At 42.2% G+C, this 27433-nt stretch overlaps 1 protein-coding gene across 3 annotated transcripts in view; it reads right to left on the bottom strand.

The window, feature by feature from the left end:
* Window positions 1–27433, bottom strand: part of STS (steroid sulfatase) — a 207352-nt gene that overhangs the window by 157122 nt on the left and 22797 nt on the right. For all 3 annotated transcript variants that reach the window (NM_001320750.3, NM_001320751.2, NM_001320752.2), the window contains one exon: window positions 6512–6640. In NM_001320750.3, coding sequence (NP_001307679.1) covers window positions 6512–6543 — 32 coding nt within the window. In that variant the 5' untranslated portion in view covers window positions 6544–6640. The remainder of the gene's footprint in view (window positions 1–6511; window positions 6641–27433) is intronic.

Raw genomic sequence — 27433 nt, 5'->3', positions numbered from 1 at the left:
AAGTACTGTACCTAGAGTGGACACATTCCTCCTCTTAGCTTCGGGAACGCCCTACTCTGTCTATGGAGTAGCTGTACTTTCACCACTTTACTTTCTTAATAAACTTTGTACTGTGGACTCCCCCTGAATTCCTTCTTGCACAAGATCCAGGAACCCTGTCTTGGGGTCTGGCTCGGGACCCCTTTCCTGTAACAGTAGGATGCACTGCATGGTCTTGCCTTCATAGAACTTTGCAATGTGTTTGCAAAGTCAGATCTTATTCAAATAATCAATATTGGACAAATAATCACACAAGAAATAGTATGAAACTGCAAATGCAACAAGAGTGCCTGGAGCACGGAGTGGTCATTACTTAGCCAAAGAGAGGAAGGAAGCCTACTGGAAGGAGGAGTTGGCTGGGGAGATGGCCCTGAGGGGAAGACAGCCTGGGTAGTAGGACAGGTTTTAAGACAAGTTGCCTGATGGGGTAAAAGAAAGCCAGGGGGAGGCAGATGCAGGGAGGACCTGAGAGTAGGAAGAAAGGTAGGAGGCAGACAATGGAGACCCATCCAGGCCTGGTTCTGAAATTCCACCTTCCTTCCAACGGGAAGCCATTGAAGGATTCCAACAGGGCCAGTGGCAGGGTTAGGCCTGGGTTTTGAGAAGGTGCCTCTGGCTGCTGGTGGTGAGAGGGAGACCTTGATGGATACAGGCAGACTACCAGGAGACCAGAGAGTTGCATACCTAAGACATGAAGATGACTCAGCCCAAGGTGTCCAAAATACAGATAGAGAGACAGGTACACGTGAAGAGACAGCTAAGAAACAAATGAAAGACAGCTCAGATTGTTTGCATTAAAGATCTTTGAGTCTGAAAATAATTTATTCCACTAAAATCCGTCCATCTCTTTGTTGTGGTGGTCACTGATAGTTGTAGTGGTGGTGGTGTGGATCCCATGGCTAGAAAGTGTAGAAGACAGTGGAGAGAGAGGTGTATACACACATATGCATATATCACTTTTTTTTTTTACATCAGTACAGTAAGAAAGGACAAGAATACGTCACCCCACAATGTGCTTCTTTGGCGTAAGAATTATTTTGAGTAATTGCAGACACAGGAGAAGCTCTTAAAACAGAGTAGAAGTTACTGTTTTCTAAGAGAGATTTACATCTGTAAAGGAAATCTCCATTTGTAAGGGTTTCTCCTTCATGGTACTGGAAGAGAAGGAAGGCTGAATGATTAAACACTCTTAAGGTTGGAGAAGGCACCAACTGAAATGTGCACAGCCAACCTTACCCTGGTTTACCATACTTTTCCTGGTTACTTCTCCATAACTGTCCCTTCCCACACCTTTCTCTCTTTCACTTCTTTGAGATTTACTCAATATTCCTTGGATATTGCCCAGATACACAGGAGGTATCCATGTTAATAAACTATTTGTTTTCTCTTGTTTATCTGCCTTTTGTTACAAGGGTCTGTCCTAGATAAGAACTCAGACAGGGTAGAGGAAAAATTACTTTTTCCTTCCCTATGCAATAATTCAGCTAAAGAAATCACGGCTAAGATGCAGGAGAGGGTATCCACAGACCTTATCTAGTCTTTACATAAACAGCTTAATATCTTTCAGCTTCAGTGTTGCCTTCTGTTATAAAACAGAACAGGTAGAGAAAGTAATGGTTGTCATTGTTTTTAGTCACAGAAACTTCTATCCATAAGAATGTCTAATAGAGATGAAAATCAGTGCTGTTCTTACAGAAGTGGGTGGAATTAAATCTCTGACAATTCCCACCGCAGGGCTGAAGAAGCTCCCAGGAGCAGCCTGAGGAACCCTGAGGGTTCCAACAGGAGCAGTTTGCCAAGCACTGAACATAAAGTCAAACATTCTAAGTGCTTTCACTAGAGTGGATGTAAAGATAGCAAATTAAGTGTTTGGCTGGAGTGTTTGTAAGACGTCTTCTTATAAATGCAATGTTTTCTTCCTTAGGCACTTCTATACACTATGTTTTAAAACATAGAACAAAGTTATTCTCAATTCTGAAGCCAGGGTGTGCTTGCCGAGAAAAAGCAAGACAGGCTTTGTCGCTCTTGCACTAATTCACAGGTCCACAGAGCCACAACACCTGTGTTAATCCTGATTCTGCAAACCATGCAGAGACAAACACAGAATGGGAAGTGTGAAATCCACTACTATGTCTATAAATCCTGAGACAACTCTAGAGATTGTATTCAGTAGTCATTATGTTGTCACGTGAACCCTGTCTTGGGTAAAAGAGTAGAAGTTGAGAAGTTTGGAGGGTGGTACAGGTATTACCAAAGACAAGTTCTAAATGCACTTCTTGACAAAAATCTCCCACGTGCTGAATACTACATAAAGAAGCAACATGGAAAAGAAACATTGCGGCCTCCACACTTATTTTATAAATATAGTCATGTACTACATAACGATGTTTCGGGTAACGATGAATCATATATACAATGGTAGTCCTATAAGATTATAATTCCATATTTTTTACAGTACCTTCTATGTTTAGACATGTTTAGATACACAAATAATTACCATTGTGTTACAACCGCCTGCAGTATTCAGTACGGTCACTTGCTGTCCAGGTTTTTAGTGTAGGAGCAATAGGCCATACCATACAGTCTGCGTGTATAGTAGGTTTGTGTGAGTATACTCTATTATGTTCACGCGGTGACTAAATCACCCATCAGAGCATTTCTCAGAACGTATCCCTGTCATCCAGCGATGCGTGACTGTATCACGTAACAAAGCAATAGGAATTTGAAAAACGCCTATGCAAAAATTGTAACAGTGAGAGAAATCTAACATAACTGGTTCCATCTTGCTTCTAATGTCACAAGCTAACTTCCCTTGTTCATTTCTGGGTAGGCCAGGTCAACTACGGGAGGATTTTAGTTTACAGTTTAACATTAAAGCAAGGATGACAACAGTCCCTTCCCAAAACTACCCCTCCTTGTTCGGGGACCAAAACCACCTTTGTAAAACTAATGAACGGCCCCAAGGTTAGACTTGTGGGAGGGACCTGCATTCTGCTAAGACCTATACATAGTTGCATGATAACTAGCCATTGCTTCGTAACCTGCTTACTGCTCAGGAGTCATGTAGCTGGTGGTCACAAGATGTGCAACTTCCCTGATTGCCCCTATAGATAACATCACTATTGTAAAACCTAAGACTGGTATGTAAAATATTTTTCAGATTTTGCATTCTGGTGGAACAAGTGACGTCACTGGACCAGTGACCCCCATGCAGGAACTGACTCGGCACACAACGACAGTTTTGATAACTCTGTGATTTCTTTGCTGATGGTGCCAATCAGCCTTTCCCATTCTCTAGCCTCTTGCCCGCCAAACTGTCCTTAAAAATCCCAGCCTCCACACGAGGTCAGGAGTTCGAGACCAGCCTGGCCAATATGGTGAAACCCCATCTCCACTAAAAATACAAAAATTAGCCGGGCGTGGTGGCGCTTGCCTGTAGTCCCAGCTACTCAGGAGGCTGAGGCAGAAGAATCACTTGGACCCGGGAGGTGGAGGTTGCAGTGAGCTGAGATTGTGCCACTGCACTTCCAGCCTGGACGACAGAGTGAGAGTCTGTCTCAAAAAAAATAATAATAATATTTTCCTATTACTAAACCTTTTCCTTGGAGGAGAACAAATCAGGAAAACTACAGACAATATAAGTGTTCTCCTGACAATCCCCAAAGTCTTCATCCATTTATGGGAGGGAGAGAGTTTAATACTCTGTATGTAAGAACCCTGAATTCTGAATTGTGAAGCACATTAAAATACCTCTATGAGGATGGCTTTATGCTAGTAAGATAGAATGGACACTGTTACTAGATATTTAGAACAAATATTTTAACCCCCACTGCAACACTCCCACTTTATCTGAGAACATTAGGAAAGGATAATGAATGCTGTATTCGTTTATCATGAATTAATCATGAACCCTTTCAGCTGCATATTTTTAATTAGCTACTGCATCTGTCATTTTTTTCAGAGCCCTTCTAGCTGGATCTAGGGAATGTCAATCTCTCCCGTAGACTAAAATGACCGAAAAAAAAAAAAGGTACTTAAAGCATTTCCCTGCAAAATGTACAGTTTCCAAAGAAATTAAATAAACAACAACAACAACAACAACAAAAAACCCTACTTAGCTGGTGCTAAAGACTTTGAAAGCGAGGTCAGAAATTCATGCCAGCCCGTGTATTATCAATAACTTTAGAAAATAAATTATTCTTGAAAATGCCCAAAAAGTTTGTTTCTGAAACAGAAAAAGGAACACACAATCCTTTTAAAGAACAAATTACAGAAATCACAATGGAAAATGAATCTGTTAAGCTGCTAAGTGTTAGGAATGAATATAAGCTGAGGCTTTAAGCCTCCACGGATGTTGCTTTCAGACGGAGAATCCTCTGTTATGGGGTTTAAATTTAATAGAAAGAAAAATCCTAAAAGGTCATTGTCCTTTTGTTCTCTTTAATTCTTATTCTGACTCATATCCCTCAAAGTAAAAGACCATTGACTATTCTAGGAAGAAAGAGAAGATTAAGTTAAAGCCTCTTGTTGCAGTGAGCAGGGTTTGTCGCCCTCAGCACGACATTTCGGATTTGTGAGGAACTGTGGGTGCACCGTGGGATGGTTAGCGGCACGCCTGGCCTCCACCCACTACATGCACCCCACTCCAAAGTTCTGACGACCAAAAATGTCTCCAAACTTTACCAAATTCTCTCTGAAGGGCAAAGTCTACCCTGACACATAACTACTACCATCCGTAACCCCCGAAGCTGCCTTCTGAAAATCATTAAATCACCCTGCAAGCCCGCTTTCAGCTCCCATCTCCCTGGCTGGCAGGATCATCCAGGTCTTCACCACATTTTTCCCAAAACAGAGGTCATCTTTTACGTTTCATAAGCACCCTATGAAACTGCCGTTCATCTATTTTTTTTTTTTTTTGAGATGGAGTCTTGCTCTGTAGCCCAGGCTGGAGTGCAGTGGCACAATCTCAGCTCACTGCAACCTCTGCCCCCGGGGTTCAAGCGATTATCCTGCCTCAGCCTCCCAAGTAGCTGGTACTACAGGTGCATGGCACAATGCCGGGCTAATCTTTGTATTTTTAGTAGAAATGGGGTTTTACCATGTTGGCCAGGCTGGTCCCAAACTCCTGACCTCAGGCGATCTGCCCGCCTCGGCCTCCCAAAGTGCCGCGATTACAGGCCTGAGCCACCGGGCCCAGCATCTTTAAGTCGCTTTTTACAAAGGAGGAAACTAAGGCAGGAAGAGGTGAAACGTTCTCCTGGGAACACACTGCCAGCATGGGGTGGGATGGAATCCCCAGCCCCAGGGTCTCTGACTTTGGGAGTCTCTTCACACTTATTTGAACCAAATATCTCCTCCAAAAGTATCTTCCTGCCCATTTCTTTGAGCCAGCTGCTATGGGGGACCATAAATGCTCTGAATGGCCAAATATTGTGCCCCCTGGTGTTCTGATAGCATAGTGCCATAGTGGTCCAGACATGTCCAAGAACAGGTGTAAAATAACAGGGATTCTTCCCTGCAGGGGCTTTTAAAACTATGTTTCCCTCATCCACCCTAAAGACTTGCACCATGCACACTCACCTCCCATCAGCGAAAAGAGCTCTTCCTGCAGGCAGGGACCATGCTCTGCCCCTCAGCCCTCACTTCCACCAGGGGGAGGAGCTCTTCCTGCAGGGAGGGACCTGGGTATGCCCTCACCTCCATCAGGGGAAAGAGCTCCTCCTGCAGGGATGAACCTGGGTATGCCCTCAACCTTCAACTCCACCAGGGGAAAAAGCACTTCCTGCGGGGAGAGACCTGGTTATGCCCTCAGACCCCACCTCCACCAGGGGGAAGAGCTCTTCCTGCAGGGAGGGACCTGGATATACCCTCAACCTTCAACTCCACCAGGGAAAGGAGCTCTTCCTGCAGGGAGAGACCTGGGTATGACCTCAGCCCTCACCTCCACCAGGCGGAGGAGCTCTTCCTGAGAGGAGGGACCCCATTCTGTCCCTCAGGTATTGCTGCAGCTGATCAGCTGAGAACAGGTGTACTGTGAGCCTTCCCACTGTGCCATGTTTCTGTACCTTTGCTGATTCAACTAGAGTAGAGCCACCTCAAGGGTCCAGAGGATGCATTAAATCATTTGTAAGCCCCCATACCTATATTCCTCTAGACTTGCCACATAATAGGCCACTTGCTTATGCTCATCAGATTATGCACGCTGCCCCCATTGGCCCAGGACAGTCTTTCTCTATAAAAATATATTTGCCCCACAGATGCTCCCCTTTGACCTTTTGATGGAAAGTTCTTTCTGAATGAAAGATAGCTGCAATAGCACCATGTGTATGTCATCCCTGCAATAACAGAATGTCCTCAATACCATTATCAAGATCACTGCATACCACTATTTGACTTAGACAACATGGTCTGGGTGAGTCAAACACTTGAGTTTCAGGGCGAAGATACAAACATATGCACCTCTCATACTTACGCTATGAACAGCTGAAGACGATCTTGCGCCATTGTCCTCAGGAAGATCTTAACTTACTGAGATGACTGTGTGCAGGTTCAGCAACTGAGGGGCTCTTAGTAGAGTCAAACCAAGGGCATCGGGCTCTTCCTGTGAATTCATTCAAAAGATGAATAATCACACGCTGGGTAATCATATATTGACATACTTAAATGACATGTGCTCTTTTATTTATTTATTTATTATTAGTATTTTTTTTTTTGAGAGAGGGTCTCACTTTATTGCCCAGACAGCAGCATGATCATGGCTCACTGCAGCCTTGACCTCCCAGGCTCAAGTAATCCTCCCACCTCAGCCTCCCAAGTAGCTGGGACTACAGGTGTACCACCACAGCTGGCTAATTTTTGTAATTTTGGTAGAGACAGGTTCCCACTATGTTGTCCAGGCTGGTCTTAAACTCCTGGGCTAAACAGAGCCTCAGCCTGACAAAGTGTTGGGATTATAGGTGTGAGCCACTGTGCCCAGCCTCTTAAGCTCTTTCTTTACTGCAGCAGGGGTTCCCAACCCCTAGGCCTCTTAGGAATCACACTGCACAGCAGGAAGTAAACAACAGGTGAGCCAAGCTTCATCTGTATTTACAGCCATTCTCCATCACTCACATTACTGCCTGAGCGCCACCTCCTGTCAGATCAGCCATGGCATTAGATTCTGATAGGAGCACAAAACCTATTGTGAACTGCAAATGCGAGAGATCTAGGTTGCACACTCCTCATGAGAATCTAATGCCTGATGATCTGTCACTGTCTCCCATCACCTCCAGATGGGACCATCTAGTTGCAGGAGAACAAGCTCAGGGCTCCCAATGATTCCACATTATGGTGAGTTGTATAATTACTTCATTATATATTACAATGTAATAATAATAGAAATAAAGTACACAATAAATGTGACACACTTGAATCATCCCAAAACCATCCCCCTCCCTGTCCATGCAAAAACTGTCTTCCACAAAAATGGTCCCTCATGCCAAAAAGGTTGGGGACTGCTGGTCTAGAGGATTTCTCTCCCCACTTTTCTTCTTCCCACTCTCTGCCTAACTCCTACCCATCCTCACCTCTTGGCTTACACCACTGCCACAAGGAAGCCCTCCTTCATTACCCTGTATGAAGCAGGCTCCCCCACTGTTGACTATTATAGCACCTCTTTTCCCCCAGATAGCAATTATTACTACTTGTATAATAGATTCATTTATTTCCTGATTTATTCATGTGACAGCTGTCCTTTCCACAGCTCTAAGGATCAAGAAGGCAGAGACCACATCTCATTTGTTCACCACAGCAAACACTCAATAGATGTTTTCTGAATAGGGCTGGGTTTGCACAAACAATGGCCCACAAGAAAAATCTGTCCTGACACCTGTTTTCATAGAATGTTTACATGTTTAAATGGTTGAAAAAAGGATATTATTTTGGGATATGTGAAAAGTACGTAAGACTCAAATTTCGGTGTCTGTAATACAAAGTGTATCAGAACACAGCTGCCTCCACTCCCTTAATGCTTTTGTGCTACAATATCAGAGTTGAGTAGTTGTGATAGATACTATTTGTCCCTCAAAGCTGGAAATATTTATTTACTATCTAACCCTTTACAGAAACAGTTTTTTGACCTCTGATACAAAGTCCTAGAAATGAATAGAAAATGGGTCTCAAAAGAAAGCCAAGAAGATAGCTTTGAACCTATTGAAGACTTTTCTTTTAACTTGTTGACATTTAGACCAAAAATCTAGTATATGTCTTGAACTATTTATTAATATATAAATCTATTGTTTATGCTTTGAAATATGAAGCATAATCCCACTTGGTAAAAAAAAATATTCACAAGAGAATATCACATCAGAGAAAAATTACCATTCCATATAGATTTTTATAAATGTGGATTTTGCTTTATTAAAGTTAGGCTTCTAGCAACAATTTCTGAGGTTCAATCAGAATCTCAGAAATGTTATTTTTTCCCCCCAGAGATGGCATTTGAAACTGTAATCAATCTTCCAGCATGGCTTTTCATGTTAGATTCTTGTTGAAATGGAATAGTGTGCTGTCAACATTGATCCTTAACCTCCCACTGCAGGAATGACAAAACCACTGGGCAGGGTCTCCCCTTCTGCTCATTCACCATGACATCATCAGGCAAGACTAAGATTGCATGGATGTGGGTTTGAACAATTGGGCGTCTCTCCTTGCGAGATAAGAAAGGTCATTATTTTCCTTTTTTTGTCCCCACCTTTTATTTACAGAAAATAGATTTTAAGGTATCAGCATGGAAGCTCTTTGACCCACACTTGATACTCAGTGCTTACCAACCCCCCAGTGAGAAATGAAGACAAAGAACATATCTGAAGGGATTAAGTCACAATGCTTATCACAGTGGTACTGCCACGAAGAGCCTATACTTACAGAATGAAACAGCACAATGGAAAATCTAAAGGCCCACGTTCCGAGGACATTTTTCAAATTAGTATGAGATGGGTTCTCACCCAGGAGTAATTTTACCCCACCAGGAACAGAAGGTGATATGTAGAAACAGGTTTGGTTGTTGCAATTTGGGGGACAGTAATGGTATCCAGTAGGCAGAGGGCAGGAATTCTGGTAAATATCTTACAATGCACAAGGCAGCCCCCAAGACAAAGAACTATCCAGCCCAGTGCCCGCCCTCAATCAACAAAGCATGGTCTTCTCCCAAGTGTCAACAGTGCCAAGGTTTAGGAATGCTGTGCTAGATCACTCATCCAATGCTCATTAAAGTGGGTGTGGCTACAAGCACAGGCAAATAGGTTTTAGGGGTGAAGGGGAATGGTACCCAGCTGACTCAAACAATCGCACCTAGTAACTATGGTGATTCCTCTGTTACTATCACAAGTTATATGAAAATAAGTCTCTTCTGATAAAATATATAATCCAAACTGTAGTCACAGAGCAAGAAGATTGGTTAAGCCTGTTTTATTATGAGGAACCTACATTCTGATTTGTGTGTTCAAAGATAATAAGTATGCATCTTTATCCCCTTGAGTCTCTGTTTATCTATAATCCTCACAACTGCCATTTGCTTGGCCATTTTTCTCATTTGCATGCCCCCTCCAAATGAAATTCCAGTTGTACAAGTCTGAAAATGATAATGATCTAAGAATGCCATTGGGGTTTGCCATCCGTTGTCCATAATTCTGAGACACAAAAAGCCCTGAAAACCAAATGATTTTTGTAATGCCCATTTTGTTGTATTGAGCATCAAAACCCAGACTGAACCAACTTGAGGCATCAGTCTTGTCTCAGCCTACCAGCTTCTGCTGTTCATTAGTATTGTGTTACTTTGTTGTGACTTCAGGTTTAATGGCACGGGTTTAATTTTGACTGTGAAAATGTCAAAAAGAGTTAAAGGCATCCTATGTTCAACAGTGAGAAGAAGAAGAGAATGCATTTCTCCTTAGCCATAGCCCAGGCCGTGTAGTTATTAAAGAAGACTGACTGTAGTATACAAAGTGGAAAGGTTAGTTGTTGAAATTTGACTGATTGATTTGCCATAGGGTGAACCACATCCCAGTGTGTCTAGGACTGATGAGGTCCAGTTTTCAAACTGGGACAGTCTCAGGCAAGCTAGGATGAGTCATTTATCCTACTTTCTCGTGAAAGCTTCCAGAACATTCCATGTAGAAGTAAGCACTGAAAACCACTGTGAATATTCTAGAGATTGATTGAAGGAATTTACAAGGGTAAATGGTAATCCAGGGTGAAAAAGTGTATTTTGAAGAGGAAGACATAGAGTATGGTGCCGAGAATTTGCACAGAGAACGTCCTTTGTGGGTGCTGTGGTAGCAACTTAGATGTCAAGGGAAGACCCAAGTCTTCCTCCCCCAGCTGCTGCTGATAGTTTTGATGGCTGACACACTTAGCAAAGTCTGTCTCTGGAAACTGGCCTCGGTCAAAGAGAACTGCCTTTTCCAAGGGGATGGCATCTCCTTGCCTCAAGGTGGGAAACCTCTGAGGGACCTTCCTGGCTCCAGAGCTCCCTCTGAAATGAGCTGAGGTCTTTGTTGCAACAGCTGTGCTGCTCAACTCCTCCCTTGGCCTCAATTTCCTTTCCTCACTCCCCTGCAAGTGTTGACCCCAAGAATACACTCCCCACAAAAAATCTCCTGAGCACCTCAGAGTCTATTTCCCATGACTTGACCTAAGATGATATCTGATTTTAAAGAAACAGTTTATTCCCGGAAATATTTACAATGCTGATCAAATAGCCTCATCTTGCTGATCAAATAGCCCACCTTGCTACTAAGCTATAATCCTAGAGAAACTCTAATGTATAGGAGCACTCTTGACATAAGTGACTCCATCTTAGGAGAAGATTACATCTTGCTTTTCAGAAGGCATCTTCCCAATAGGACCAGATGTTCGCCCAATCAATACAGACTGCACCCAATCAGATGAGGTTGTAACCCTTTACTGTCACCCCTCACCAGAGGACTCAGGGGGATATTAGCAGGACTTCACCAGTTCAACATGACCACCTCACTAGACCCCGTCTTGCTAACACTCGTGGTCTCCTCCATGTACCCACTGCTGAACCCTCTGCCCAAATCAAGGCCTCTTCTTTACAAGATGTGGGCTATCATCCAGATCAGCCCAGAACACTCTCCTTGTCCATGTCACTCTCCATGGACTGGTTCATTAACTCCTTTTCCTATCCCCTTTATATGGATGTTAAATGTTACAACACATGTTAACATGTGTTATGGAATGTTTAATCTAGAACATTTATATATTGATTAAGTATACTGCCATGTTTGGTTTGCAATATTGACTGTTGTAAACTGGCTTGAGCCTGTGTGTCCCTGGCTCTGGCTACCAAGTGAATGGGAAGTACTAAGAAGTAATAAGGAGTGCTTAGCACTAAGGAGAATTGGCTCTTGTGGCTTTTACGACTGAATAAACATTTTCACAAGTCCAACCTCGTGGAAAGACACAAATATGTGCAGACCTTGTTGTCCGATCTTGTGCCATTCACAACACCTAACAAAAGCCAACAGGAGGGAGGTCTGCAAGCTTGGATTGACAGTCCTTGGTTGTGTTAACACTCAAAGGCAAACACAAAGTAAAGTTGTCAGTGACTGGAAAAAGCCAACATCCACAATGATGGAAATGTTAACTCAATTTACCTATTCATCATCATGCAAATAGGAATTTCCTGAGAAACATTTTTTGAGTAATCTAATAACAAGCATACCAGTAGCAGACAATCGGGGCTAACAGAAAAAGCATAAAATAATATAGTTTCTGAAGTGTCCTCCCTCCTTCAGACTTCATTAAAAATGAAATGTTTTAGGTACTGCTCTTTTCCTCAATATGAAATGTATTTAATATAAACTTATGGCCAAGGAATTTTGTATTCCATCAAGAGAAGATGTGCATTTTAACTTTATGTTTGCCATATACTGATAAGCATGAGAATAATAGTAATAATAATAATGGAATTGTGAACCACAGTGAAAAAAAAGCCATGCAACAGGGGTCAGCTAAGTATGGCCATGGGCCAAACCCAGCTTACCACCTGTATTTCTAAATAAAGATTTATTGAAATACACCATGCCCATTCCTTTATACACCTACTTTTGAAATACAATTGCAGAGCTGACTGTATCCTCCACAAGGCTGAAAATATTTACTATGCAGTCCTATACAGAAAATGTTTGCAACCCCTGACCTAGATGATAGGGTTAGAATGTGTGATCTGTTCATTGTTGGCCTTGAGAATGAGTGGGTAAGACAGTTCATTCAACTAGCAAAAATGCTCTGAGAGAATGCCAGGTTCACATGACAGACGGCAATGGGAGAAGTCTTTTAAAGGGTCATTTTTCACATTGCCATTTCATCCTTGGAGAAGATGTTCCCTGATCATTCTTGTTCTCTGGCCAACAACACGTGGCCAACTCAGACTCAGTGAGAGACCTATGACAGCCCTGATGCAACCTCTTCTCAAAAAGCCGAAGCAACCAGAGGTCACAGATGTATATTGCAAGTATGTGTAAAGGTATTTAACTTATTCTGAATTGACTCTCTCTGATGTTTTACTTAGAAATCAGAAGTGCCCAGGGTACTGATGGTCTGTCATCACACAATTTAATTTACCAGTGCATTACTATAAAAATGCACTATATTATACCACTTGTGGTCTTCCTGCATCCCACTGGGAGGAATAGTCATACATTTTTCTGCAAAAATATTAATGTGTTTGATTATTGAATGTTGCCCTCACCTGCTGAGAGTGTCTTGGGAGGTAAAGTAAAGGCATATATTATCTTCCTAAAATATGCGTAACTGAATTCCAGAAAACACCTGGCTCTCAGGGCTTCAGATGAGATATTTGGGATGTGTATCAATATTCAGCATGTGTCACCCAAGACTGTGGAAATACCCTGAATTTAATCAAAGCGGATGTCAAAGTGTCACTCTATACATGAAGAACACCTGGAATTATCAGACCAAATCCCTCACATCCCTGATTTACAGAAGCCCCTGTCTTGCAGGAGTAAATTTTTAATTGGCAATGCAAAATGATTTTTTAAAAATTCCAGGCAATTATTTCTTCATTTTGCATGGTGGAAACTCAGTCATGCTGCAGGGAGTCTGGGTTTATTTCAAGACCACGATGGAAATTGCTAGAATTTTTGGTAGTTGAGCCTAACTATAAAATGGCATTGATGCCTAAAATAGAACCAGATTTGAATTTATGATGAAGCTAATTCCCTAAATCAGCTAAACATAATAATGTTGACCCAATAAGGGAGAAGAATTTCAACTGCAGAATTTTCTTCTGTTGCTTCCTTGTTGTGCATTGGGGATAGTTTCAAACTGGCCAATGAATTTGATTTGTGTTTTGCAAAGTTACTCAAGCCACTTTTTGGCTTGTTCATGGTGGGAGAATTGCTAGTCTTCCATTTATGCTAAGGGTATTGCCATTTTTTTTTTTATTTTTATTTGAGATGGAGTTTCACTCTTGTTGCCCAGGCTAGAATGCAGTGGCATGATCTCAGCTCACTGCAACCTCCACCTCCTGGGTTCAAGTGACTCTCCTGCCTCAGCCTCCTGAGTAGCTGGGATTACAGACGCCTGCCACCACACATGGCTAATTTTCGTATTTTTAGTAGAGATGAGGTTTCGCCATGTTGGCCAGGCTGGTCTTGAACTCTTGACCTCAGGTGATCTACCCACCTCGGCCTCCCAGAGTGCTGGGATTAGGCATGAGCCACTATGCCCGGCCGGTATTACAATTTTGAAAGAGCTAATTGGTGATTTGAAATCTCAAAAAGAATGGAAGGCATTCGGAATCATTTGACTATTCTCATTCCTATGCTCTACATAATGGAAATGTCTTCTTTTGCAAGATTACATTGGTGATGTGATTAATATCCACTGTAACAAACTCTGTGTGCGTTAGGAAACAGTAAAAACCTTAGCTGTGGACCAGGCACAGTGAGGCTCAAATTCTAGTTCAGTGAGTCATTACTTGTGTGATCTTGGGCAAGTGATTTTGCCCTTTTGCATCTTAGTTTGGGGGGCATTTACATCTTGTCTCCCTGAATCCACTGTGTAATTCTCCCAATGGAAGCCACATCTTCTTTTTATTTCCATTGTCCACGAGGTTGTGTCCAGCAGCAGACAGAGGGAGGTCTTACTAAACATTTGCTGGATTTATTGCTTAAATTGTACAATGAGTTCTGAAGGTTTCTCCTGGGGAACTATGAATAGTCTTAGGGTTTAAGATTAACACCAAATTGGACATGAAGACCTGTGCAAAAGTACATCTTATAAATATCAACCTGGATGAAAACTGTAAATGTGAAAAAAAATCAAGCAAAATATAAAGCATTTATTTGACTGCTGGCACTCCTTGGCTTATAGATCTATCACCTGAATCTCTGCCTCTGTGGAAATAGGGCATTTGTGCTGCGTGTCTTCACATCATGCCTCCGCGAGTGTCTTCTTTTTTGATAAGGACGCCAATCATATTGGATGGGGCCCACCCTACTCCAGCATGACCTCATCTTAACTTGGCTAATTACATCCACCATAACTCTATTTCCAAAAAAGGTCACATTCTGAGGTCGTGGGAATCACATGATTTTGGGGGGACTATTCAGCTCATTGCAAGCAGAATTGATGGAGGAACTGATATAAGGTCCCTTCTGTAAGGTCCCATCTGTAAGAACTGATGGAGGTCTCCAGATTACCACCCCCCGCAGAGTCTAGAGAGGTAGACAGGGAAGGCAAGGCTGATTTGGAGCTCACTGTCTTTTGTCATATCTGAGAATTGTTATAAATTTCCTCATTTCTATCATTCCTCAAAGCAGCACCCATAAATCAAACCCAGGGACCTTATACAATCCATGCGCACTTACTGTTGTTCAAAGCACTTTCCTATCCAATATTCCACCAATCGCTCCAATAACAGGTTGTATTTATGAAAAGACACTATAGGCACAAGGACCAGAGTGGTGAAAGGTCAGTGGGAATGCTAGAGTCCATTTCTGCTTGTAGTTAGGTACCCGGCCCCAAAAGCTCTCCAGGAGGCCTTGATGCAAGTTACAGCCACCCCATGATAAGGAGTATCTGCCAGCTGAGGCCAGGGGAACAGAATTCGCTCAAGAAGAAGCCAGCACCCTGCACGTGAGGACACACTATCAGTACTGAGCCCACCCCTACAGCATGCACATGTGCAATAGCTTTACCTCTCTCCTCTTCAGCTAGACCCAACTCTTTCTGGCAACCACTGTGGGATGAATTAGTAAGTGCCTGCTCTATGATTGATAGATAAAGCCAATATCGCGGGATGCTTGGAAAACAGAATGAAGGTATGACAAAAATAATCATCATTGGTTGTTTTGAGGTTTTTTTGTTTTTTTGTTTGAGACAGGGGGACTCACTGTGTTGACCTAGCTGGAGTGCAGTGATGCAATCTCAGCATGCTGCCACCTTTGCCTACCAGGCTCAATCAATCCTCCCATCTTAGCCTCCCAAGTAGCTGGGACTACAGGTGTGTGCCACCGATTTGTATATTTTTTTGTTTGTTTGTTTCATCATATTGCCCAGGCTGGTCTCTAACTCCTGGGCTCAAGGGATCCACCCACCTTAGCCTCCCAAAGTGCTGGGATTATAGGCATGAGCCACCACACCCAGCTTGATCATTGTCTTTTTGTTTTTTGTTTTTCAAAGGCATCCCTGCAATATCTACCCATAGAACAAAGAAGCTTCATCTCAGCCTCAAACAGGAGACTCCTGAAACTGCTGCCAAGTTTTCAAGGCCAGAGCTAAGTCAGTAAACAACCAGAAACCCACTGCCTCTAGGTGATGTTGGCATGACATGGGCTGTGATAGGTGTCTGGTGGGGATGCCCAGGTTCACAGTCCAAAGGCCAGTTCACTGTGAGACCTGGACCAGCACACTCCAGGAGTCCTTTGCAGAGTCACTTCCGATGCTCTGAGGGTGTTTCTCCTGACACCTTACAGTTACCTTCACAGGAGGCTCTAAAACAGTACTTGTTATTCTTCACTCTTCATGTGTCTTGCCCTGCACTTCCTTTATTAACCCAGGTGTTCATAATGACAGCTTCGACAAATGAGTTTTGATTTGATGTCTCCAGGATCTGAAAGTTAGCAGACTGGTATTTGTATTTTTAACATTTGAGGCTAAAAAACAATAGTTTCTTCTTTTCTTTTTAAATTTTAGATTAAGTGGATACATGTACAGGTTTGTTACACGAGTATATTGTGTAACACTGAGATTTGGGGTTCTAACAATTCCATTGAAAAATGACACTTTATTGAATTCATAAATGTGTGTAGAACTTTAAAAGTGTAAGTGGTTAAGGACTACTGTGTTTGTCACTTTACCATCGAATAGCATCCATATTCCCTGGTGAGCAGACATAGCGGCCCTGCCTACCAAAACAAGAAGGGTTCCTTTAATGGGCATTAAACATTGCCTTCCTTAAGACAGCAGGATTGAGTTACTGCATTTAGAAGCATGCCATCAAGGAGAGGCAGCTCTGAGTTTTCCATGCTGTGAACAGGTTGATAAGTGGTGTCTGACTTATGAGGACAGTTTGTCAACTTTTGAGTGTGGATTTTAAAAAAGTGATTTAGAGGCAAATTCATAATTACTTGCTTTCAGTATAAAATTATTAATCTTGGGTAGCTGGGGGAATTTATGGAGCTTATCAGCTCTCTCAGCTGACGACTTCTATGAATTACCTAATAGTTGATTTCCACTCCCCCACACTACAGTAACATTCATTAAATTAACACCTAGTTTTACAGGCAGAAGTAACCTCAGGACATCAATGTCCAATTTTTGCCTGCGAGCTTTGGAGAATGTGAGAGTCAAGGCTGTTTCCACCTGTATGCTGACTCTGTGGAGCAGGGGTCCCCAACCCCAGAGCCACAGACTGGTACTGGTCCATGGCCTGTTAAGAACCTGGCTGCACAGCAGGAGGTGGGCAACAGGCGAATGAGTGAAGTTTCACCTGTATTTACAGCCACTCTCCATCCCTTGCATTACCACCTGAGCTCCGCCTCCTGTCAGATCCGTGGCTGCATTAGATTCTCATAGGAGTGTGAACCCTATTTTGAACTGTGCATGTGAGGGATCTAGGTTGTGTGCTCCTTTTGAGAATCTAATGCTTGATGATCTATCACTGTCTCCCATCACCCCCCGATGGGATCGTCTAGTTGCAGGAAAACAAGCTCAGCTACATTATGGTGAGTTGTATAATTATTTTATTACGTATTATAATGTAATAATAATAGAAATAAAGTGCACAATAAATGTAATGCACTTGAATCATTCCAAAACCATCCCCCCTCACCCCAGGTCCAGGGAGAAATTGTCTTTGACAAAACTGGTCCCAAAGGTTGGGGACCACTGCCGTAGAGTATGAGGAACACTCTCTAGGAATTATAATCTGAAGACTATGCTTCATATGCATACAATGTAGAATGATTATTATCAAGTCAATTAACATATCCAGCACCTTATATACTTCTCAGTTTTTGTGATTAAGAACATTAAAGCTCTGCTCCCTTACCAAATTTCAAGTATACAATACATTACCATTAACCACAGTCACCATGTTGTACAATGGATGTCCTGAATTTATTTCTGCTGTCTAACTGGAACTTTGTACCCTTTCACCAACATCTCCCCATTCTTCCACCCGCACCCTCTGCCCCTGGTAACTGCCATTGTACTGTTGTTTCTATGAGTTCTTAGAGTCAGTATTTTGAACCTTTTAGATACACTCATTCATTGACAGCAGATGGGTGACTAATCTCAGATGCCTAACAGTTGTCAAGAAATGACTTTTTAACAAGTGGGAACATTGATGTTTCCTGCTGTTCACTGCCGGTTGGTTTTGAAATCAGAGCCTTGGGTGTGAATACATGTACCATGCAGGAGATCCTATGAATATGAAAGAAATCAGAGGAGAAGTACTAGAGAAAGCTAGTTACCACTTTCATGAGGAGGACTAGAGAAAGCCAGTTACCACTTTTATGAGGACTAGAGAAAGCCAGTTACCACTTTCATGAGAAGGACAGAGAGAGCTCATTATCACTTTCATGAGAAGGACTAGAGAAAGATGGTTACCACTTTCATGAGAAGGACTAGAGAAAGATGGTTACCACTTCATGAGAAGGACTAGAGAAAGCGAGTTATCACTTTCAGGAGAAGGGATAGAGAAAGCTAGTTATCATTTTCACGAGAAGGACTAGAGAAAGCCAGTTACCACTTTCATGAGGACTAGAGAAGGCCAGTTACCACTTTCATGAGAAGGACTAGAGAAAGCCAGTTACCACTTTCACAAGAAGGACTAGAGAAAGTAAGTCACCACTTTCATGAGAAGGACTAGAGAAAGCCAGTTACTACTTTCATGAGGACTAGAGAAAGCCATTTACCACTTTCATGAGAAGGACAGAGAAAGCCAGTTACCACTTTCATGAGAAGGACAGAGAGAGAAGGACAGAGAGAGCCCATTATCACTTTCATGAGGACTAGAGAAAGCGAGTTACCACTTTCATGAGAAGGACTAGAGAAAGCCAGTTACCACTTTCATGAGGACTAGAGAAGGCCAGTTACCACTTTCATGAGAAGGACTAGAGAAAGCCAGTTACCACTTTCATGAGAAGGACAGAGAGAGAAGGACAGAGAGAGCCCATTATCACTTTCATGAGGACTAGAGAAAGCAAGTTACCACTTTCATGAGAAGGACTAGAGAAAGCTAGTTATCACTTTCAGGAGAAGGACTAGAGAAAGCTAGTTAACCACTTTCATGAGAAGTTTGTTAGGAAAGGAAAGAATAATGTTTTACTTGAGGGCATTTAGAATTGAAAGGATTTTGCAGGAGCTCAGCCCTTGAGAATGTTTTCGGAGTGGAGAGAGGAACCCAAGCAAAAGGACAAAATCAAAGGCAACAGTGAGGGGAAAACAGATGAACTCAGTCGATGCAGGCGATACCCCTGCTGCCCACGATGCGGCAGCGGGAGTATATGAAGCCAGAAGGAGCTAAAATTCCCTTCATTGTATCTACAGCTAAACATCTTTTCCTCTAAATTAGGTTCGATGAAAAATTGTTCAACAAACACCAAAGGTAGCATCATTGAACAGAGAGGTAGCGCATCTCAGCACTGAAGCTCGGGTAGCAATCGAACAATCAAGGGAAAGGGCAAAACTTACTTTAAACTTTTGCACATGTCTGATTATGCTGAAGAACATTCTGATTTGTTTATGTGCTTTGTCTTAACAGAATTAATTTACTGTACAAAAAACCTTTTGTCTCTCTATATCCATCAGATATCCCTGAACTGGCTCAAATATACCAGTCAGAATTAAAAATCTCTATTGTGGGCATGGTGGCTCACACTTGTAATCTCAGCTCTTTGGGAGACCAAGGTGGAAGGATTCCTTGCCAGGGGTTCAAGACCAGCCTAGCCAACATAGCGAGACCCTGTCTCTCCAAAAAATTAGCTAGAAATGGCGGCATGTGCCTATGGTCCCAGCTACTTGGGAGGCTGAAGTGAAAGAATCACTTGAGCCCAAGAGTTTGAGGCTACAGTGAGCCACAATTGAGCCTGGGCAACAGAGTGAGACCTTGCCTTTAAAAATATATATATATTTAAGGCTGGGCATGGTGGCTCACATCTGTGATCCCAGCACTTTGCCGAGGTGGGGTGGATCACTTGAGGTCAGGAGTTCGAGACCAGCCTGGCCAACATGGTGAAACCCTGTCTCTACCAAAAAAATACAAAAATTAGCCGGGTGTGGTGGCATGTGCTTGTAATTCCACCTACTTGGGAAGCTGAGGCACGAGAATCACTTGAACCCAGGAGGCAGAGGTTGCAGTGAGCTGAGATCATGCCTGGGTGACAGAGTGATATCCATGGTAACAGCCAGTGAGAGGATGACAGTCTGGGTGACAAAGTGACACCCTGTCCCAACTCCAAAAAAAAATATATATATATACATATATAATATATATATATTTTAAATTAAAATTATATGTTGTATAAAATTGACATGATGACACAGAAAAAGTTCATGTTCACATTACTTGTTTATGAACAAATCAACACTACTATTTATATAACTATGATTTTATTTTCACAAACAATGCTACGCATTATTAATGAACTCCTAAACATATAAATGGCTCACCCACAAAAGATTTTGATCAAGGTCCATCTTTACAAACTACATCAATGGAAACCAAGTTGGGTAGACAGAATCACAACCCCCAAAGGTGTCCACATTCTAGTACCCTGATCCTGAGAATGTTTCCTTCCATGGCAAAAGGGAGTTTGTAGATGTGATTATATTAAGGGTTTGGGGATGTGGAGATGATCCTGGATTATCTCAGAGAGCCAGGAGCAAGAGTTTTGCCAGTATGATGAGGTAAGTTTTTAAAGAAAAATGATACACGCTGTGGGAAAATTATTTTCATAGAGGCAAAATGGGTAGACTGTAGATCTAACAGAGGTTTGCAGAAAATGACACCAGTGCCAAGCCAAATACAATAATCTAAGCCACTAGTCTTCAGACTGGGGCTCACCTATTGATATGGTTTGGCTGTGTCCCCACCCAAATCTCATCTTGAATTATAGTTCCCATAATCCCTTCATGTTGTGGGAGTAACCTGGTGGGAGGTACTTGAATCATGGGGGTGGTTTCCCCATGCTATTCTTGTGTTAGCGAGTAAGTTCTCACAAGATCTGATGGTTTTATAAGGGGCTTCCTCCTTCACTCGGTTCTCATTCTTCTGTCTCCTGCTGTCATGTGAAGGACATGTTGCTTCCCCTTCTGCCATGATTGTAAGTTTCCTGAGGCCTCCCCAGCCATGTGGAACTATGAGTCAATTAAACCTCTTTTCTTTATAAATTACCCAGTCTTGGGTATTTCTTCACAGCAGTGTGAGAATGGACTAATACACCTACTTGTAGAGATACACAAAGACATGCTGATGGGGTGTAAAGGGTTGGGATGCTCTAAGGAAATCAATTTCCAGATCTTTCACATCCATGTGTGCTCTGCTCTAAAACCCAGCTGCTGGAGTATGCCGGCTATCTCAGTATTAGTCGGTTTTCCAAGCCCACCCCTTTCCTAATCAACTTTCTTCTACTTTGCACAAAAGGCATTCCTCTCACTGGCTGTTACCATGGATATCACCCTTGGCTGTCAAAGTCTTTACCCCCGTGATCCTGTGAAATCTTGGTATTCATGGGATATTGGCCAAATTACCGAAGAGTGACTTTAGAGCTAGGCTGATCAGGGAGTTATTGGAAAACAATGGAAACTGTTCCAAAGTGCCAATACAAAACCCACGTTCAAGGAATATTCTGAATGGAAAGGAGATAAACTAAGGGACTAGCAAGGAACCGGGTAAGCACAGAAGCTGAGGGTGAGTGGAGAGGCAAGGTAGGAACATGGAAAGAAAATCACAGACTTTTACCACAAAAAGGGAGGTGGTGCTCAGATGTCCAAATAGTGTATTATTGTTAAAGTCCTAAGGATGAGGCTGAAAGGCAGTAATGATGGAGACAGAGTGGAGGTAAATTCAAGAGGTATTTTGGAAACTCAGCCAAACAGATGACTAAGTGGATAAGAGCATGGAGAATAAATGGTTCTAGCTCATGAACTGGATAATGGAGGACCCCACTGATTGAGCGAGGAAGTACTGAAGGCACAGTCAATCTAGAAAAGAGACACTAAAGAATTTATTTTAATCATATTGAGTTTGGAAAATATTTGTAGCTCATGCTGGAGGAAACAGACAAGGTCACTGCCATTATCGTGTACTAAGGGCTAACAATATGCTGGGTGTTATCTTCATTCTGCAGATACTATAACCTGTAATCATGTCATTTATTCCTTCCCATTTTATAGGTGGAGTAGAGAAGCTGATATGTACAGAGGTGGGGTTTTGTTTTGTTTTGTTTTGTTGAGACCAGGTCTCACTCTGTCTCCTAGGCTGGAGTCCAGTGGCATGATCATGGCTCACTGCAGCCTCAACCTTCTGGCCTCAGGTTATCTTCCTACTTCAGCCTCCCAAGTAAGTAGAACTACAAGCACGTACCACCATGTCTGGCTGATTTTTGTATTTTAAAAAATTTTGTAGAGCCAGGGTTTCGCCACATTTCCTAGGCTAGTCTTGAACTCCTGGGCTCAAGGGATCCTCCTGCCTTAGTCTCCCAAAGTGCTGGGATTGCAGACATGAGTCACTGCATCTGGCTTTTTTTTTTTTTTTTTTTTTTTTTACCAGCTCAGATTCTATGTGAAAAAGATAGAATTTGGATCTAGGTTTTCTGATTCTGGAATTGTCCCCACCATCACCGTGATATGAACACTGTCTCCATGGATACTGAAACAAAGGGGATAACTAGAAGTGTTAATCATCACAAAGGTATTGACTGGGTTTGACAATGAAAAGATCAATTCTGACCTTCGAAAAGAAGTTCCAGAAGACGCCAACGCCAGTTAGATGTCAGTAGACATGAAGACTTGGATGTGGGCCTGATGAGATCAAACGTTTTGAGAAGGAAGGTGGCTTTGTGAAGCCAGGTGGGGAATCATCACAGCAGCTTACAATCAGGGCCCATCTAAGGACTGAGTACAAGTTAGGGAGGCAGATCTGATGACACCCATTTGGTGCCTGTCAGTTTGTTTGCTTGTTTGTTCAGAGTTTTTAGAGCAAAATTTCCTAGTAAATGTGAGAGGAGCAACTGTGATGTTTGGGATTCCAGGAGAGGGATAAATTTGGGATGCTGAAGAACGCAAAAAGAGGCTTACACCTTACGAGAAGATCAATCTGACAAGGAATCCCCAAAATGCAGGTGAGGCTGTCAGTCAGCACTTTGGAATGAATCAGGTGAGCACTTCCATGCAATTGTCTCAAAGAACCTCACTACCACTCTTTAGGGTTCGACCCAAAATATGGCAAAATGTTATCGCCTGCCAATTCTTGGTGAGTAAATATGTCTGTTATTACAGTTTCAGAAGTTGCATGCAGTTTAAATGGAGGGTGAGCGTGATGGGTTAGTTTTCATGCAGCAGGTATGCTGGCTGGTGAAAGGGCGAGGAGATTGAATCAGGGTAGACCTACAAATGAGGGAATGAAGTGAGTCTTTTTCTCATCAGTCTTATCAGTATCTTTGGGATTTTGGTCTTCTTAACATTATATATAGAAAAGTAAGCCATTCCTCTAGCCCTTCTCCAACTTCTCAAATATTCTCTTTCAAAGTCTAGGTTCATTAAAGAGAAACCCTATAGGGCCGCATTGCTTTCTTTCAATGCTTCTTTTTTTCCCTTCTCTGTTGGATGCTTTATGGTTTTGTGATTGTATGTGCAGATATTTCATGTTTGAGTACATCCTAGCACTTGATCCATTTCTTTCTCAGAGTCCCTGGCCAGGAGATAATATCTATATTTTTATCTGAACAATGCTAAACTCTGTTTTCCCAAACCCCAATGCACATGCCAAGCTATGTTGGTCATTTACCATTATAGATTCTAAAACTGTATGGCCACTTTCTCCCAAAGATTCTACCACTCTCACTTCAACAACCAATCTGTCCTTGTTCATTACAGTCCATTTCAGAGCAATATTTGATCTGCAGGATAAAGTTTCCAAAAAGAAAAGAGTTGATCACAACCCCATTAAAAAGTAAGCAAGGGACATGAATGCACATTTGTCAAAAGAAGACATTAATGTGGCCAGGAAACATATGACAAAAAGCTCAACATCACAGATCATTAGAGAAATGCAAATCAAAACCACAATGAGATATCACCTCATGCCAGTCAGAATGGCAATTATTAAAAAGTCAAGAAACAACAGATGCTGGCAAGGTTGCGGAGATGTAGGAACACTTTTACACTGTTGGTCGGAATGTAAATTAGTTCAATCATTGTGGAAGACAGTGTGGTGATTCCTCAAAGATTTAGAACCAGAAATACCATTTGACCCAGCAATCCCATTATTGGGTATATACCCAAAGGAATATAAATCACTCTATTATAAAGATACATGCACGTGTATGTTCACTGCAGCACTATTCACAATAGTAAAGATATGGAATCAACCTAAATGCCCATCAATGACAGACTGGATAAAGAAAATGTGGTACATATACCAGATGGAATACTATGCAGCCATAAAAAAAGAATGAGATCATGTCCTTTGCAGGGACATGGATGAGAGTGGAAGCCATTATCCTCAGCAAACTAATGCAGGAACAGAAAACCAAACACCACATATTCTCATTTATAAGGGGGAGTTGAACAATGAGAACACATGCCTACAGGGAGGGAAACAACACACACTGGGGCCTGTGTGGGGAGGATAGGCTGGGGGTAGAGCACCAGGAAAATGACCTAATGCATGCCAGGCTTAATACCTTGGTGATGGGTTGATCTGTGCAGCAAACCACCATGGCACATGTTTACCTATGTAACAAACCTGCACATCCTACACATGTGCCCCAGAATAAAATAAAACAAAGTGAATAACACTGACTGAGAAAAAAGAAAAGAGCTGATCAGATATTAAGTTTTTAGCTGGGCAAGACTTCCAACAGGTATCCCACTTGTCAAGTCCCACATCACCAACAGATCAAGCCTCTTACCAATTTTGTTATTTGTAGGTAAGAACTCATTATTCACCGTCTGGACCAGGCCTGGTGGTTTATTGCATATTCCCAAATTATACTGCTTTGGATTTCTTCTCTCTTTTAAAAATACTTACTCAAGCATACCCCACATGCTTCCATGTCTAAGTTAAAGCTTTGTGATTTGCTCTTTTTTTGGTACAACTGTGTAATGTGCCAACATTCAGTATGTTTCCCTTACTCTTTTCTATTAGCTGTGTCTTCGAAATAATTATGCACATCTCCAAATGACAGCAGCCTGAGATACACAAGCAACGACAGGTGTTGACTTGCCTATAAGAGAAATCAGTCTTAAGGGGCTAAGTACAGGAATGAATTCCATAGGCGATTTGTAGAAAATGACTGTAATTAGAAGTGGGAAGAGAAGCCAGGCTAAATGGCAGAAGAGGGGCAAGCTGACAGTGCTCAAGCGGAAAACAGGCAGGCATCACGAACAGTGAGGGGCGTGGGGGCTTCCAGAACACATGGATGTTATTTCCCCATGCCTGAGCAATTTCATTCTGGGTCCCTTAAGGATGCTGCTTCTACAGTCCTATAATACAATTACTGATTATAGGGTCATACTGCAGAGTGATACAATCTGATGATCATCAACACTCCAGAGGCCAAAATTCACATGACCTGTGTTCAAACAAATATGATGAGGCCCAGAAAAATGTGACTTCCTAAAAATGTATTCAGGTGGGATGTGGGGATAGGGACTCACAGCAGTGGGCTTGAAGAATCTCACTTGGGTGATGAGAATATTCCCAAACTCATTTATGGTGATGATCGCGCAACTTGGTAATTTAATAAAAACCATTGAATTGTACAACTCGGTGAATTAAATGCAATGTAAAATAAACCTCAAAAAACTTGTAAACATGATTTTCATCAATATTATTTAAAGAAAAGAAATGGTTCTAGAGTAGCTGGGAATGTATGGAATTTCTTTAATTATTTCAAGAAGGCCTCTAAGAGTCACTATACTGATCCCTCCAATGGATCTAATCGAATATACAAGTGCCACATATATTCCACAGACACTATTGTACCGGGTGATGCTTCATTTCCTATTAATGTCTGGGCAGTCGTCAGGAGTACTTTTTGCTGGAAAATAATTCGCAATTAGTCACTCAAGCCACTTCTATGCTATTATGGCTAATAAAATCCCAAATCTCATCATTTATCGGCTGGGTGCAATTGTGTTTGTTGATGGTGAGGACGTGGGATTGCAAGAGAGGCTCTTTCCACTGGATATAAGTTAGTCCAGTAAACCCAAGGATAACAGCTCCTCAAATAATTGGAATTTGAATATGCAGAAGCTGATTGGCCATTGGTTCCATCCTCTGCCCATTTCTGTCCCAAGACCAGGGCAGGCTAAGACTGGGGTTGACATTTTTGGGGAGAAGCTGGGGGTAGAGAGCTGAGAGAGGGCAGGTGGCAATGGAAAAGTCAGAGACCCCTCCTGGAAAACGCTGAGTCCTCATAGATCCTATTTTCTTCTGGCCCTACCTCCAGGTTGAGGCTGAGGAGCAGATTCAGCTCACCAACTCAGAGAGTCTTGGAATTACTGCCAGGATTCTGGAAGCCAGCCAGCCCCAGGAGGCCGAACTGCCCCTATAGATTTTTATGCTTTGAGCAGAGAGCTACCAACAGGTGGCGACAAACTGCAGCCACTCCAGGATGGATTTGGAGGGTTCCTCTGGACCTGGTTTTGCAGAGGCCTCTGAGTCATTTCATGACCTTGCAATCATATGACCCTGCATATCCCATGACTGGCCCATTGTACCAGGGGATGGGCAGAGACTGCCCAGCCATTAATAGGAAATGAAGCATCCCCTAGTACAATGGTGTTTGTGGAATATATGTGGCATCTAATTACGTGTTTGATTAGATCCATTGGAGTTATCAATACAGTGACTCTTGGAGGCCTTTGTTAAATAGTTAAAGAAATTCCATACATTCCCAGCGACTCTAGGACATTTTATTTTTAAAAATAATTTATGCCTGGTACAGTGGCTCACACGTATAATCCCAGTGCTTTGGGAGGCTGAGGCAGGAGGAACATTTGAGCCCAGGAGTTGAGACCAGCATGAGCAACATAGTGAGACCCCATTTCTACAAAAAATTAAAAAAATTTTTAAATTTTTTAAAATATAAATTTAAAATTTAATTTAATGTAAATTAAATGGGCATGGTGGGGCACATCTGAAATCTCAACTACTTGGGAGGCTAAGGTGGGAGGACTGCTTGAGCCCAGGACTTTAAGGCTGCAGTGAGCTGAGATCACACCACTGCAATTCAGTCTGGGTGACAGAGTGAAACCCTGTCTCAAAATAATAATTTTGATGAAAAACATGTTTACTTTTTTGAGATCCATTTTACATTGCATTGAATTCACCCAGTTGTACAATTGAATGTTTTGATTAAATTACCATATTGTTCGACACCCCCCGTACCCCTCCCCCAACATCAGTTCTGGAACACTTCACCCTAGTGAGATCCTCCATTCCCACTGCTGTAAATCACTATTCCTACCTCCTGCCTGTATATATTTTTAAGAAGTCACGTTTTTCTAGGTCTCATCATATTTCTTGGAACCTGCAGTATGTGATTATTGCCCTATTGTCTTCTGGGGTGGTGACAATCATCAGATTGTATTATTCTACAACAAGACCCTATAATCTGTGATTGCTTTATAT

This window comes from Homo sapiens, chromosome X (genome assembly GCF_000001405.40).
Source record: "Homo sapiens chromosome X, GRCh38.p14 Primary Assembly".
Lineage (NCBI taxonomy): Eukaryota > Metazoa > Chordata > Mammalia > Primates > Hominidae > Homo > Homo sapiens.
This window is presented reverse-complemented; position numbering and strand designations above follow the sequence as displayed.